Consider the following 16,393-nt stretch of genomic DNA (forward strand, 5'->3'; position numbering starts at 1 on the left):
TTTCATTTATTTTCTAAGCCCTCTTAGCATTTAGCACAATAATTTCAATGTCTCTAAATGTGCCATGGTCAAGGAAAGGTTGGCTACTTCATCCTTAATACTGCTGCTGCTGATGTTGATATTAATAATAATAACAACAGCGATAATAATAGCTGACATTGAGTTGTTACATGTCAGATACCATCCTAAATGTGAATTCTCCAGCTTTTATGAATGAGGGAACTGAGGCAAATAAAGGTGAGAAAGTTGGTTGAGCCAGGGTTCTGGTGCAAACACTTGGACATTGTATGCTGGGCTCCAGATACTGTACTGTATACAGTTCAAATACAGTTGCAGTTTGGGAATTTTCTTTTTTTTTTTTTAGACGGAGTCTCGCTCTGTCACCCAGGCTGGAGTGCAGTGGCGGGATCTCTGCTGACTGCAAGCTCCGCCTCCCAGGTTCAAGCCATTCTCCTGCCTCAGCCTCCCGAGTAGCTGGGACTACAGGCGCCTGCCACCACACCGGGCTAATTGTTTGTTTGTTTGTTTGTTTGTTTGTATTTTTAGTAGAGACGGGTTTCACCGTGTTAGCCAGGATGGTCTCAATTTCCTGACCTCGTAATCCACCCACCTCGGCCTCCCAAAGTGCTGGGATTACAGGCGTGAGCCACCGCGCCCAGCCGGTTTGGAAATTTTATAAAGCAGCGCTTTGTTTGCAAGTCTGTGTCTCCTACTAGGCCTCATGCTTGTTGAAGTCAGGCCTGACTTGTTTATCTTTGTTCTTCCGGCTGTAGCACAGTGTCTGACACAGAGTATGCTCTCAATAAATGTTATTGAAATAATGAGTCTGATGAGCAGCATACCCTTCTATCAGAATCTTCCAGAGCAGCAGACAAAACTTCTATATCTCTTTTAGGCCTCCTCAAAATGCATATTTCTACCTGCAATGAGTACTCTGGTAATGTTAATTGATGATGTGACTGCAGTTAATAACATATCTTTTCACTCATAGTCATAAATGTGGGTGGTTGTACTAGTCAGCTATTGTTGCACAATAAACAGTCCTAATGCTGGCTTAAAGCAACCATTTATTCTCTCTTACATGTGTGTGAGTAGGCACAGAATTGGCTCTCCAGTCTGCCGTGGATGCCAGGGTGTGAGATGGGTCCAAATATGCTTCTGTGTCCGTCATCTTCCTTGGTGCAAAATCGTAACAGGACAGCTTCTTTTTACAAAGGTGGCAGAGGTGTGAGAGGACAAGCCCATCTATGCATGCACATTTCAAGTCTTCTTGACTAAAGTAAGTCACATGACTGAGACCGAAGGGTCTACTCGGTCTACAGTGAGAGGAACTGCAACGGTCTGTGGAAAAGGATGTCGATTCCTGCAGTGGTAAATAATGGAGTCAATAATTCAATCTACCACATTTGTACTGACCAAGCAAGTGATCGAGAAAAACATTTAGAAACACCAACAGCAAAATTTTGATTAAGTTCTTAAAGTAATGTGGTAGATGTTGGAAGCAAAATCCAAGCCAATTTTTATTTAATCACAGTCTTCTTCCACTCTTCCAACAAATGGTGGATAATGAGTATTACAGTCATTTCAACAGTAATCAACTATGGTATCCCAAACAGAAGATTATAACTTCAGCTGGAAATTGCGCAGCAGGACAGTTGAAGGCTTAAAAACAAACAACAGGCAAAAAAAATCTCATTTAGTCTCAAGTGATACTTTGCAATAAAGAGAGAGGGTAGGGGCAGGGAAATTAAGAAATGAGCAACATGGGCAGAATTGTGTCCCAACAGAAGACTGGACGTGTCATTAAAGGAAGCACTAGAGAGAATTTGAATATCAGACAATGATACATGAGGTAAATGTGACTGGCACTGACCAGTTAACATTAAAAAATGCGTATGATGAAATGAGAAGGTAGGAAATCTAGGAAATTAAAACAGAGAAGATAAAGCTTTCCTTTTGTCTCACACTAGGAGAGTGATACCTTGCATGCTTTTCCTTAAGCTTCTTAAGCCTGTAGCATGAGTGATTCAGAACAATGTAGGAGTAATTACTCGAGTGTTTCAGTCTTTGAGAATCTGCAATAGGCTGTTTACCTACAGGTTCTGAATTCTTTTGCAGGTATGCAGTTGACTATGTCATCCTCTCCTGACGCTGTCCAAGATCCTCTGAAGGCCATGTCAATCGCTAGGTCTAAATAAGGATCAGAGAGCAAAGCTGAGGAGTAAACTCATACATAAACAGAACACAGGACATTCTACTTAAAGACACAAATAATAAGGAAAAATGCCTCATGAAGTAGCCTCATGAAGTAGCAATCCTTCTGCAATTACTGAACATTTCCCTGCAACTTTTCTGTGTTTTTCAGGCAATTTTCTTTATTTTCCCTCACATGAAATGACACAGACCTGCAATTTCTCACTCCTTTCATTCAAATTGTGTGTCATTTTCCAGGGGCTCAGGCACTTACTGTTTTATATCCGTACAAATGTGTGTATGTATATATATGCACACATATAGGGAAAAATAGGAACATTGACTTGACAAAATATGCTTTATACTATCTTTAACAAAAGAGACAATAGGTAGGTCTAAAAAATACATTTTGAAAGTGTAAGTATAAAAAGAAGATACAACAATTGTTTTACAAGAGAAAGTGTTCCTCAGTTTCCCATTCTTTTCCAAAGGTAAAATAGAATGAAACTGATCAAAAGTAATGACTGTGAATAGGACCACAGTCTCAAGTCATTCTTTCTACTTCTTAGGCCAAGAATGTATTAGAATTGCCATGGCATTGCCAGCAGAAAGCCAGATGCATAGCTAATTACTAGAAACTATAGGATTATAGTAAAAAACAAAACAAAACAAAACAAAAACTGGCACTTTCCTAAAAAAAATCTGGTATGATTGTAGGAACCCATGGAAGAAGAATGAATCCCATGACTTGACTTGCTTTTCCAATATTATGTATATGCAATTCTCACATTTCCTTTCTCTACTTATTTTTGCCTATATCAACCATGGCAATTTCAACGTGTAGGTGTGTACCGAGATCTTGTAGACTGACTCAGGATCTTCTAAACTCAACTGCAGTTTACTACATCCTGTCTAAATCACTCATGTATTACAAAAGGGAAACTTTGGCCTTGATCTAATGAAATGCATCTTGCCCTCCTTATCATACTTTCCTCCATTTATTCATTCATTCATTCACTCACTCATTCATTCACATCTCTGTTTATTTAGTAAATATTTTGCGGGCCAAGTACTCAGATAGATCCCAGGGAGTAGAAGATGAGGTAGAGAAGGGCATGACTGTTGAGAGAGTCCAGTCTAAAGTAACAGTTAGCCACATAAAGTTACAAAATGATGAGAAAAACATCAAAACAGAGGTACGCACAGAGTGCTATGGAAGGAGAAAGAAAGCAATTAGTTCCGCCTACAGTAGCCCAGAAAGGCTCCACAGAGGTGTCACTTTTGATATATTTTGAGGGATAAGCAGAAATCTGCCAAATACAGATAAAAATGGTGGATGGGCTGAGAGCAGAAAGCCTTTGCATGTGCACTGAGGCCCTCTACCATGATGCCCAGTGACAGGTGACTTATAGCCCCAATAGGATTTAAAACGCTGCTATACGGAGTTACTGTTTTCATTGAGAAACTGTGTCCCCCTTGCTGTGTCTTAAATAAGGTTATCGAATATGTCAAGTAGCATAAAACCACAATTTTTAAAAATTTATTTTCCTTATGCAAGTGAAGAGACACTTTTAAAAAATATGACCATTTTTATCTTGGTATGGGTCAGTTTGTAATTATATGGAAATTGTTATAATTGATACAGGCAATGGCATTCCAAAGCCTGTGTAAGTAGATAATATTTGCAAATTTGCCAGTCTGGCTTTGAACTGAATCCTGTGTTATTGTGTAACTTGGAGTGGGGGGATGGTAGAAAAGAGAAACTTATTTTTTGTTATTAAGCAAGGAATTTATTTTGAGATAAATATCATCAGAAGCTTGCTAAATATTCTTTTTTTTTTCCTTTTTAAAATTTGTATAAATGTATGGGGTATAAGTGTAATTTTTTTTGTTAGCGATGGGATCTCACTATGTTGCCCAGGCAAGTCTGCAACTCCTGGGCTCAAGGTTGCCTCATGCCTCGGCCTCCCAAATTGCTGGAATTACAGGTGTGAGCCACCATGCCTGGCCTTCAAGTATGATTTTGTTACATGCAGAGGTTGCATAGTGGTGAAGTTACGGCTTTTAATGAATCCATCACACAAATAATGTACATTGTGCCCATTAAGCCATTTCTTATCATCTGCCCCCCTCCCACTCCCAACCCTTCTGAGTTTCCAATGTCTATCATTCCACACTCTATGTCCATGTGTAGATATTATTTAGCTCCAATTTATAAGTGAGAACAAGGCCGGGATGATGACCCATGCCTGTAATTCCAGTAATTTGGGAGGCTGAGGGGGAGGATCACTTGAATCGGGGAGTTCAAGGCTGCAGTGATCCATGACTGAGCCACTGCACTCCAGCCTGGGCAACAGAGTGAGACATTGTCTCCAAAAAATAAAAAAAATTAAAAAAAAATTAAATTAAATAATGAGAACATGTAGTAATTGTCTTTTCTTTCAGGACATGAGTATCTTTCGGGACCTGAGTTTTCAATTATAGCAGGGTATTCTTTTAAAATTCTCCATATTCCCTGTTTGTCATATTCTGTTAAACTTTCATTAAAAATAATAGAAATACAGAATTATAACCATAATTATTTTCTATCATCTTGATCAATGCCCCCAAAAGGGATGAGAGTCATCTGTAAGCCTCTATGTACCTTCTGGCAATTGTCATCTTCTGTGGCATAAGCACAAAGTTATTATACAGTGCTTTTTTTTTTTTTTTTTTTTTGTCTTTTTGAGACAAAGTCTCGCTCTGTCACCAGGCTGGAGTGCAGTGGCCCGATCTCGGCTCACTACAACCTCCACCTCCCGTATTCAAGTGATTCTCCTGCCTCAGCCTCCCAAGTAGCTGGGACTACAGTCACACACCACCATGCCCAGCTAATTTTTGTATTTTTAGTAGAGATGGGGGTTTCACCATGTTGTCAGGATGGTCTCCATCTCTTGACCTCGTGATCCGCCCTCCTCAGCCTCCTAAAGTGCTGGGATTATAGGCGTGAGCCACTGCGCCTGGCCTATACAGTGCTTTTTTAAATGACAGGAAAAAAAGTAACCCTAGATTTTATTGTGCCATTTTTACTAGTTAATTTTGACTTCCTGATCAAATAGGATCTCCTTACCTATTTTTTGAATAAGTACCTCTTTCTTCCCTTGTCTTATCTTCTTATGTCATCTGTATTGCATTTATACAGTATTTGTGTCTTTTCTGCCATTTTAATACACAACATTTTGCTTGTCCAAACCTTGTGAGACCCCTTTTCTAACCAGACTTCCAGTCCTTGCCTTACCTGGCTAACTCTTGTCCCTTTGACACTTGGGCCCAACGGGTGAATTTAAAAACACTTTAAATTTCTTCCATTTTTTGGAGTCATTATTAGTATCTTAATAGGCAATAATATGTGTGATTCTACTATTTATCAGCAGTGTGACTCTCTTAAAGACCATCATGGCAGAAGCCCATCATGGAAGTCTACCATTTCTACCTTGCCATCCAATCAACCCCTTCCTACCACAACACTTACCTTTACCCACAGACTTCTTACTTTCCTTATGTGGACCTCAAAAACATAGCCAAAGTTTACAGCCTGACAGCCTCCTCGCCAAATTTAGCCTAACAGTCTCTCAGCCCCAATCTCTTTCTCTCTTTCTCTCCGATTTTATTTCATTTTTCGCACACATGCAATTTTTTGGACTGCAGTGTTAGTTCATAATTAATAATTAAGAGATTTACACATACACACAAATTCAGGTTTCTACTTTTACTTGATTTTTTTTTTTTTCTAGAAGGGCTTTGTTATTTCAAGTTTGCTGTGGTTCTCACTACACACTTCTGTCTCCCAACACCTAGTTGTCATTTCTTAACTCACTTAGGCTATTGTGTTCTCATATGCCTGACCATTTTCACTCACTGATGTTGCCAACTTAATATCTACAGTTATCTGAGTTTGTGACTCCTGGCATAGATTTATCTACAAAACAGGAAAACACGGTTCATTTTTAGAAAACAGAAGCCAAATCATTAAGTAATTTTCCCCAGCTCTCACAACAAATGCCTAGTCTTTTAATTCAGTCTAGTATTTTTTTTTATACCAATGTTTCTCAAATGTGCATCTGAATCACCTGGAAATCTTGATAAAGAGACTGTGTAGCCCCATCCTAGAGTTTCCAATTTATGACTAGGGAGAACCTAGAGAATGTGCATTTCTACCAAGTTTCCAGTTGGTACTGGTTGTCGGGGGACATACTTTGAGAACTGTGTGCTATGCCATTGTGCGAATTCCTCTCAGTTTACTTTTAAGATGAGATTGAGTATTTACTCTGCCTTCCAAATGATTGTAAACTTCAAAAAATGTTACACAATAAATATAAAGAGTGTCTCCTTCACTTGAGCATAAGCCCCATAAAAGCTGGAACATAGCTGTCTTCTTCATTTTAGTATTTCCAGTTTCTGATACATAGGAATTACTTTATAACTTTTTTTCTTTCTTTGAGGTAGAGTCTTGCTCTGTTGCCCAGGCTGGAGTGCGATGGCAAGATCTCAGCTCACTGCAATCTCTGCCTCCCTGGTGCAAGCGATTCTCCTGTCTCAGCCTCCTGAGTAGCTGAGATTACAAGCATGTACCGCCACACCTGGCTAATTTTTGTATTTTTAGTAGGGACGGGGTTTCTCCATGTTGGTCAGGCTCATCTCGAACTCCTGACCTCATGATCTGCCCATTTCGGCCTCCCAAAGTGCTGAGATTACAGGCGTGAGCCACCACGCCCAGCCACTTTATAATTTTTTAAAACAAATTCGTGAATAAGAGGTAAAATGCAGGGCTTGGAAAAATTTAATAAAAATAAAGACTGAAGTAGAGATCTGGTCCCTAACAATCAATTTCAATTTAAGGAAAATAATTTCTAAGGAACGTCTATGCTTCTCTGATTTATTTGGTAGCTTAGTTATGCTTGCGTTAAGAATGCAAAAGGAAGCAGTGTATCACTCGCTGATGGTGCTCATTGTAATAGTTCCTCCTCTGGGTAGAAAGAGTTTCCACATACACATTCGAAGGAGTGTAATCACTATCCAGAGACCGAATCCTCTGCCCTGACAGTTGGAAAATGACTATGTGTGCTGACAGCCCCACAGGATGGGAAATGCAATAGCTCTGCTACTACTGTGTAATGTTGCCAAGCTTAATTGACTGCACCCATAAATAGTGGGAGAAAGTGAGAGTGGGTAATCCATACTACTCTTAAATTATTATGTGGGATCAACCTTCAGGCCTCCCAGAGAATCTCTGTAGTATAAGTCATTGATTGTTTAGATTTTAGGTTTCTTTGTTGTCTGTACCAACCCCAGCTCAATTTTATTCACTTGCTTTTTTCTTTTTTTTCTTCATGTTCTTGCTTTCACATGCTTCCTTTTCCTTTTATTTTCCTTTATAGCTTTACACAGAGCCACTCTTATTCCTCCATCCTCACCTCTTTTTCTTGCTATATATTCCAATCAGCATTCAAACATTAATAATCACTACTCTTGCCTTTTCATCCTTCTCCAGATATTCCACTATCTATTCTAATTCCCCCTGAGGCTTTTCAAAAAAGTTGTCGATACACATTGTCACTCCCTTGCTGTTCTGTTACTCTACCACTCACATCTTATTTCTATACCCATGACTCTACGAAAGCTTTGGTGAAGGACACCAATGACCTCCATGTTGGAAATCTAAGAACTTTACTCTTACTTGACTTTTTACTTGGCTTCTCACCACATTTCACACGGTTGACCATGCCTCCTTCTTGAAAACTCTCTTCTCTTGGTTTCTATAATACAACTACAATTGCCTGGCTTTGTCTTTTCCTCTCTAACCACAGTTTCTCAGTCTTCTTCACTAGTTACGCTTTCTGCCACACTCTTAAATATCAGGGTTCTTCTCTTCTCTTTGTACAGTCTTTTTCTAAGTGGTCTTCCACACCCATGACTTAGGGTAATATTTACTCTTTACTATCACTCATCCACACCTCTCTTTTGAGAGATAGGCTAAAGGATCCACCGCCTGTATTTGAATGTCTCTCAGCTATCTCAAACTTAAATTGTTCAAAATCTTATGCTTGAATTCCCACCTCCCCACTCTACCAACAGAAAACATTTTCTCTCTTTCACCTGTTACATCTAATCCACAGATTCATGTCAACATCTATGTCCAAAGTATCTATCCATCCATCCTCAGCTGTACCATTCACTCCCTAGCCTTATCCATAAGCATCTCTCTCATGGCCTGTTCTTGCAACATCCTCTTAACCTTTCTCCCCACATATCTCCTTCTTAGATACTTCTTGACTTCTGCCTCCAATCCTGCCAGTTTTCTTTTATTTTTTAATAAAAACCAAAATTTGTTTTTGCACCATTTAAATCCTTTCCATTTTTGCCCATCAAACCTGGAATATAATCTGAGAAAAATAAATAACCTCTTAAATTCTCGATATGATTAACAAACCCTGTTGGATTATCCCATCTTGCTCTTGTCATTTTTTCCACTTTTCTCCCAACTCACAGCAATATACCATACTGGCATTTCTTAAAGTCCATGTAGTATATCAAATCATTTCCCGTCTCTGAACCTTTGCTCCTGTTAATCATCTGCCTGAAATGCTATTCTCCCTACTCTTCATCCAGATAGTTCTTATTCATCTGCAATTCTCAATTTAAATATCCTTTCCTCGAAGAGTCCTTAAATCCCTAAGTCTAAATTACATTCTTTTTTGTTTTTCTTTTTTTTTTTTTTTTTTTTGAGTTGGAGTCTCACTCTGTTGCCCAGGTTGGAGTGCAATGGCGCGATCTCGGCTCGCTGCAACCTCTGCCTCCTGGGTCAAACAATTCTCGTGCCTCAGCTTCCCAAGTGGCTGAGGTTACAGGCTCCCCACCACCAGTCCCAGCTAATTTTTGTATTTTAATAGAGACAGGGTTTCACTATGTTGGCCAGGCTGGTCTTGCACTCCTGACCTCAGGTGATCCACCCACCTTGGCCTCCCAAATTGCTGGGATTACAGGCATGAGCCACCACGTGTGACAGGTCTTAATTAAATTTTACTGGTACACTCTCAGAGCATTTATCCGTTTTTTTTTGGTTATTGTTGCACTTATCATGATTTGTAATAATACTTTTATAAATGATGTTTATGTTGTTTTCTTAATATACTGTAAGCTTTATGAATAAAGCAGCCTTGATTATTTTTCTTTCTTTTTAAAATCAATGTGTTATCAGTGCATAGCTTAGTACCCAATAGATTTTAAACCCTTGGTAAATACCTGTTGATTAAAAGGTCTTCCTCACAATTCTCTTCTCACCAGATATCCCTTAGCTCCTATCTCTATTTTCAACTTCTCTCAGATTTTTATCCTTCCTTCCTTTTTCTTCCTTCTTTGCTTCCTGCATTCTTTCATGACAAATGCAGACTTGTCAGTTAAATTCAAAACTTCCCACCTACTTATGTAAAGTTCAGTTTTACTTAAGGTAAGACAATGTCTTAGTTTGTTTTCTGTTGTTAGAAGAGAACATTACAGACTGCATAGTTTATTAAAAATACAAGTTAATTTAGTTTACAGTTCTAGATGCATGCTGGGAAGTCCAAGAGCATGAAGCCAGCAACTGGCAAGGTCATCTCATGGTGAGAGGGCAGAAGGCGGAAGTGAAGTGAGTGCACAAGACAGAGACACCAGAGGCCAGACTTCTTCATAACAGCACACTCTATTTTTTTTTTTTTTTTCAGACGGAGTTTCGCTCCGTCGCCCAGGCTGGAGTGCAGTGGCGCAATCTCGGCTCACTGCAAGCTCCGCCTCCCAGGTTCATGCCATTCTCCTGCCTCAGCCTCCCAAGTAGCTGAGAGTAGCTCCCGCCACCATGCCCAGTTAATTTTTTGTATTTTTAGTTGAGACGGGGTTTCACTATGTTAACCAGGATGGTCTTGATCTCCTGACCTCATGATCCGCCCGCCCCGACCTCCCAAAGTGCTGGGATTAAAGGTGTGAACCACCGTGCCTGGCCAACAACACGCTCTTACAATGACTAATCCACTTGCATTATCAGTGTCAACCCATTCATGAGAGCTCTCTGCCTTTATGACCCAATCACTTCTTATTAGGCCTCACCTCCCAACATTGTTGCATTGGGGATTAAGTTTCCAACACATGAGTCTTTGGACGGCACATTGAAACCGTACCAGACATTAGTTTATTTAATTGAAATTCAGAAATATATGCTCAATAGCAGATTAACATTTTCCTTCATTTGATTTGCCTCTCTTTTTTTTTTTTTTTTTTTTTTTTAATTTGCCTCTGGCTATGTAAATCTAGACCATTTGGAAGAATGATATCTCCTAAATTACCAAGATATATATTTTTTACTCAAAATACCCAGGACTAATTCCCTATACTGATTCATTCAATCATTCATTTATTCATTTGTTTAATTAATCAATTATTGATTGAGATCTTACTGTGTATTATGGATTTTTATTATTTAAATCCCAGATTCCCGACTTACTTGCTGAATTATCTTGACCAATTAATTATTCATTCCTCAGTTCTGTTATCTCCTAAAATGGGTAAAAAATAGTAACTAACTTGCAGGGATATTATGAGAAGAAATGAGTTATTGCGTGCAAAAACAGCCAGCACATAACAAACTCAAAATTAGTATTAGTATTATTTTTAATATCATTAGTTCATCATTGCTTTTTTAGACATCGGATTATATAATATTGAACAAATAAAGTTTATGCCTTTACATAGCTTATACTCGAGTGCAGGGCAAACTGTGACCCTTTGACCTAGCCTGCTGCCCAAATTTTGAAAGGAAAGCTTTGTTTGAACACAGCTAGCCTATTCCTTTACATTTTATCTATAGCTGCTTTTTTGCTGCAAAGGCAAAATCGAGTAGTTGCTACATAGATGGTATATCCTGAAAAGTAGAAAATACTTGCGATTTTTCTCTTAACAGAAAGTTAGCTGACTTCTCTTTTTGTGAAAATAGATATACTTTCTTTAGGAGATAGCCTAGGTATTGGAAATTCTACTGGAGCCAGGGAGATCTGGGTTAGATCTAGCTTTCCTATTAAACTAACTTCTTGCATGGTTTTAGCATATGTCTCTTAATCTTTCCTAAACATCAGTTTCCTTGATACCAAAATGGGCTTAATGTCTATCTCAACTTTTTTATATGATTAAAGAATAAAATGTATATAAAGTGCCTGAAAATTTTGGTGCTATAAAAAATGTTTCTCTTTCCTTTTGGACAATAATGGGTTTCTTTTATATTGATAGTATAAGTATTAATATTTATTACAACTGTACAGCTACATAAAACCAATTTAGACTAGAAGTCAAAGTAATCATAGTCTATAATAAAATAAGATTCAGTAGAAAAATAATAGACTTTGATTGAAGTAAGTACAAAGAAGAGATATAAGTTAAACTTCTCCACTTTCCATGCTAGAGCGATTTGCATTTTACCGTCACAGTCTTGGTTTAAATTTGTCATAGTTAAGCTATAGGTTTAAACCCTTTATATGCTAATGATTTTCTATTTCTAATTAGGTTTCCAAGGTTCTTTTAGTATGAAAATCAACTGAAAATACTGTGTAAACTAAATTACTTAGAAAGGAGAATAATCTTGCTCTATAGGAAGGAAATAATTTGTTATGTTTTTTTAAGGTGCCTCTTTAATAATAGCTTAAAACAATAGATCTATGAAAGTTTGTTTTTTTCACAGTAGTTAACTAGTCAGTAATGTTGCCGACAAAATTCCAATTTAAAAAATGACCTTTTAAAGATGCCATATAAAATTAAATTTTAATGAGTGATAATAAATGGTGATACTTTTCACAGGAGGAAACACAAAGCTTGCCTGGAGCCCTTGCTACATGCCATCCACTTTAACACTCTATTATTGTGTCTTCCCTTTCATTATTTTCAAGGGAAGATGATGGAAATGCAGCACCTTTGAAGAACCCAAAACAGTTTTAATATTGTGCTTACTAAAGGCGATCTTCATCGCTGGATAATTAGGCAGATGGATCTCCATTGCTTTAGTGATGATTCTTTTGTAGAATGCTGCTCCATCCCTCCACAATGACAGTAAAAGATATTTAAGCATTCCTTTGATTATGTGACTGATTGAAAAATAAATCACCATGATTACGCTCCAAAAAAAAAAAAAAAAAAAAGTGTTCGCACCAGATGGAAACTCTGCTACAGTTCTGGGGCGAGAGCAGAAGGTCTTCGCACTGGTCAGCTTTCAGGTGGAAAACATTTGGGAAACAGTCAAATTAATTCTAGGGGGGAGAAAAAGCATAAGAAGAAAGGGTAAAAAAATTGTGATGTGCCATTACACCTGCACGTGGCTTGTTGGCTTCCTTAACAAAATAGGAATGGTCACCAGTGCTTCTTAGGCCAATATTACTTGTCTTTTATTAATCTTCCAGGTCACTCAAGTTTGTTATCCCATTCACTAAATAAGAACAATTTATTATAAAGTGCAGTAATCATGACAAACCTAATTATTAATTTTTTTCAAGCTTAAATTTCAAAAAATTGTGAAGCTTCTGCTTTTTATGATGACTCTTACTCTACCCTTTTTGCCCTGAGGATCCTATTAGTGGAGAGCTGAGCAATTCAGTTTCATCAGAAATGAATTATGCCTCCGTTTTTAAAATATAAATACTAAAGGACTGTAAAGATTAGAACTTTGTTTGAACCTCCATCACTTGATGTTTTCTTCCTCAGCGTATAGAGCTTTTGGTGTTAACGTAAAACATCACATTCTTCTGAAAGTTCAGAGCCAGGTCTCCTTAAAGGAATGCCAGCCAGAATTGGGAGGGACGCACAAAATGAAATGTGTTACCTTCTGGGGTGAGATGTGGAGGGGATGTTTGGTGCCTCAGAAGCTGTTCCCAAGATGAGCTATTTGTATAATACAAAGTGGGGAGGTGACTATGTTAGTCACCTTCTGTTTCAAAATGATTAGAAAACAGCAATTCTCAAGAAACAGGGGGTGAATTTTTACTTCTCTCGCCAAGAGTCTGGGCGTAAATGACACCTTTAATTACTAAGGCCTGTTGGTACCACTCTGGTAACAAGCTGGTATAAATGAAAATTCTGATTGCCTCCAAATCAAGTATTTCATATAAATGCATTTTTGTCTTAAGTACAGTTGTTAGTGCAGCTTTCATTATTTTTCTTTGTCAACATATGATAGAAGGAAGTGATGCTGCCAACTTGTTATTTCACTGCTGTTTTATCGTCTGTTTTGCCCAGTGGCTGAAGAGCCAGTGTGTTTTGGCCAGCCATAACTTGTTATTCTAATAGCAGTGAGGCCCCACGAGGGTGCTCAACTTTGACTTCAATAAAATTGCAATTAGAAAAAGAGGTAACTCTCCAGTGCTTAACAAACCTCAATGTTTACTTATTTTTCAGAATTCTATCAAAATGCACTGGATATCAAACCATTCTCTTTTGATTTCTGACTTTTTAAAAGTATTCCAAATAAATAGAATCCATTTCTCAGACGCACATGCTTCGATGCGTAAATTAACTCTTTGGGATCTGAGAATTTAATTTCACTATTTCTCTGTTATACCCACCCTCTCCTTTCCCTCATTTCACTAGATGAGCATATATGCCTAACTTGCAAAGTTCCCAGTATCCATTTTGCTCGGTACATATTGAATTTGGCTGCCTGATTGTTTCTCCTAAATTAACGTAGATGTATTTAGGGATGAGACAATTAAAGAAATAAGAGTAAATGGGAGAGGGGGTTGACATAAGTAAATAACAGGAAAGGGAAAATTGGTTCATGTGTTCTTTTTTCCAGTGTATTTAAAGAAATTTTTTTAAATTCCAAAATGAAATATAGATCCAAATACTGTATTTAACTCAAAATCTAAAGACAGATGGATTCTGAAGAAAAAGGGAGCAGTCTAGGTTTCCTGAACAGATGTGTCCCGATCTACTTTGGTCTACAACTGGTAAAGTGGATGGTTAATGATAGCAAACATTAAAACAATTTTCAACAACTCGTCAAAGATTTTTTTTTTTTAAGCAAAGCTGCCATTCAGCAGCTAATTTGAATTATATTCTGCATTAAGTTACAACTGGTAGGTACATGAACAATGAACACTTCTTGCTTTTTCTTCCTTTAGAAATGATGAGTGAATGAAGGCGGGAGTTACTGGAAGAAAGGTAAGGGTAAGTCGTATCATATTTATTTCTTCCTTTTGAAGCATGTGGAATAATATATTGTATAAAACTTGTTCAGAAACTCTCAGGGGGCTTGTGTCACAGGTAAATTAGACAAATTTAGTTTTTCAGGGCAAAATGAAGTGTTTGTTTTAGCTGTGCTGCACAGAAATAAACTACCTGACATGTTGAGACCCGTCTTTTCTGCATGACAACTACCATACTGTTCAATATTGTTTAAGTAGCTCATGGCCCAAGTGGCAAGAGAAACTCTGGGTGAATTTCTGTTTTAGAATTGTGAGTTTCACCTCTCTATGTAATTAGTATTCTTATTATTAAAATCCAGTACTGCCAAAGCAGTGCTTAAAATTACAGCGGTATCAAGCTAGGCGTCTGAATGTGACCCATATTTAAGTTCAGGCATAAAAGATCATAGACTAGAGTTAATTCTACTGTAGTTGTGTTTTTTCATTCTAGCATCATTTTGTTATTGCTTTTTGGTGAAGTTTAAATGTATTTGACTTTATGGAAAAAAATGAAACACTTGTTAGATTATAACCAATCATGTAATATTTTAAAGATACATAGTATTCTGACTGATGATTTTGAAGTTATATAGCACAGTTTACTTCTGAAAGTGTAATAGATAGGCATTCAGATTCATTTTCTAATTGAGCCAAAGAGTTTTCAGAAATTTCCTGAAGCCACTCGAGCATAAATAAATAACAAAGTCAGAACACATAATGTTTTCATGTGTAATAAATAAGACCAGTAACTCCTTTAAAAGGAAACAGAAGGAAAAAAGGAAGGAATGGAGGAAGAGAGGGGAAAAGGAAGGAAGGAGGCAGGGAGAGAGAAAGGTGGAAGGAAGAAGTGAAGGCAGGCAGGCAGGAAGGAAGAAGTGTGCTTGTATTGTAGACTTATTGTTCCTACATGTGTAGAAAATTTACATTTGAGAAATGCCTTAGTCTGTTCAGGGTGCTATAACAAAAATACCATAGAATAGGTGGCTTTAACAACACACATTTATTTTTCTTTTTAAAAATTTTGTTATTATTATACTTTAAATTCTGGGATACATGCGCAGAACTTGCAGGTTTGTTACATAGGTATACATGTGCCATGGTGGTTTGATGCACCCACCAATCCATCATCTACAGTAGGTATTTCTCCTAATGTTTTCTCTCCCCTAGTCTTCCACCCCTCAGTAGGTCCCGGTATGTTATGTTCCCCTCCCTGTGTCCATGTATTCTCATTGTTCAACTCCCACTTATGAGTGAGAAACTGCAGTGTTTGGTTTTCTCTTCCTGTGTTAGTTTGCTGAGAAAGATGGTTTCCAGCTTCATCCATGTCCCTGCAAAGGACATGAACTCATTCTTTTTATGGCTGCATAGTATTCCATGGTGTATATGTGCCACATTTTCTTTATCCAGTCTATCATTGATGGGTTGGTCCCAAGTCTTTCCTATTGTGGATAGTGCTGTAATAAACATAGGTGTTAATGCGTCTTTATAGTAGAATGATTTATAATCCTTTGAGTATATAACTAGTAATGGGATTGCTGGGTCAAATGGTGTTTCTGGTTCTAGATCCTTGAGGAATCGCCACACTGTCTTCCATAATGGTTGAACTAATTTACACTCCCACCAACAGTGTAAAAGCGTTCCTATTTCTCCACAGCCTTGCCAGCATCTGTTGTTTTCTGATTTTTTAATGATCGCCAGTCTAACTGGTGTGAGATGGTATCTCATTGTGGTTTTGATTTGCTTTTCTCTAATGACCAGCGATGATGAGCTTTTTTTAATATGTTTTTTGGCCACATAGATGCCTTCTTTTGAGAAGTGTCTGTTCATATCCTTTGCTTACTTTTTGATGGGGTTGTTTTTTTCTTGTAAATTTGTTTAAGTTCCTTGTAGACTCTGGATATTAGCCCTTTGTCAGATGGATAGATTGCAAAAACTTTTTCCCATTCTGTAGGTTGCCTGTTCACTCT

This window comes from Homo sapiens, chromosome 5 (assembly GCF_000001405.40).
Source record: "Homo sapiens chromosome 5, GRCh38.p14 Primary Assembly".
NCBI classification, from domain to species: domain Eukaryota; kingdom Metazoa; phylum Chordata; class Mammalia; order Primates; family Hominidae; genus Homo; species Homo sapiens.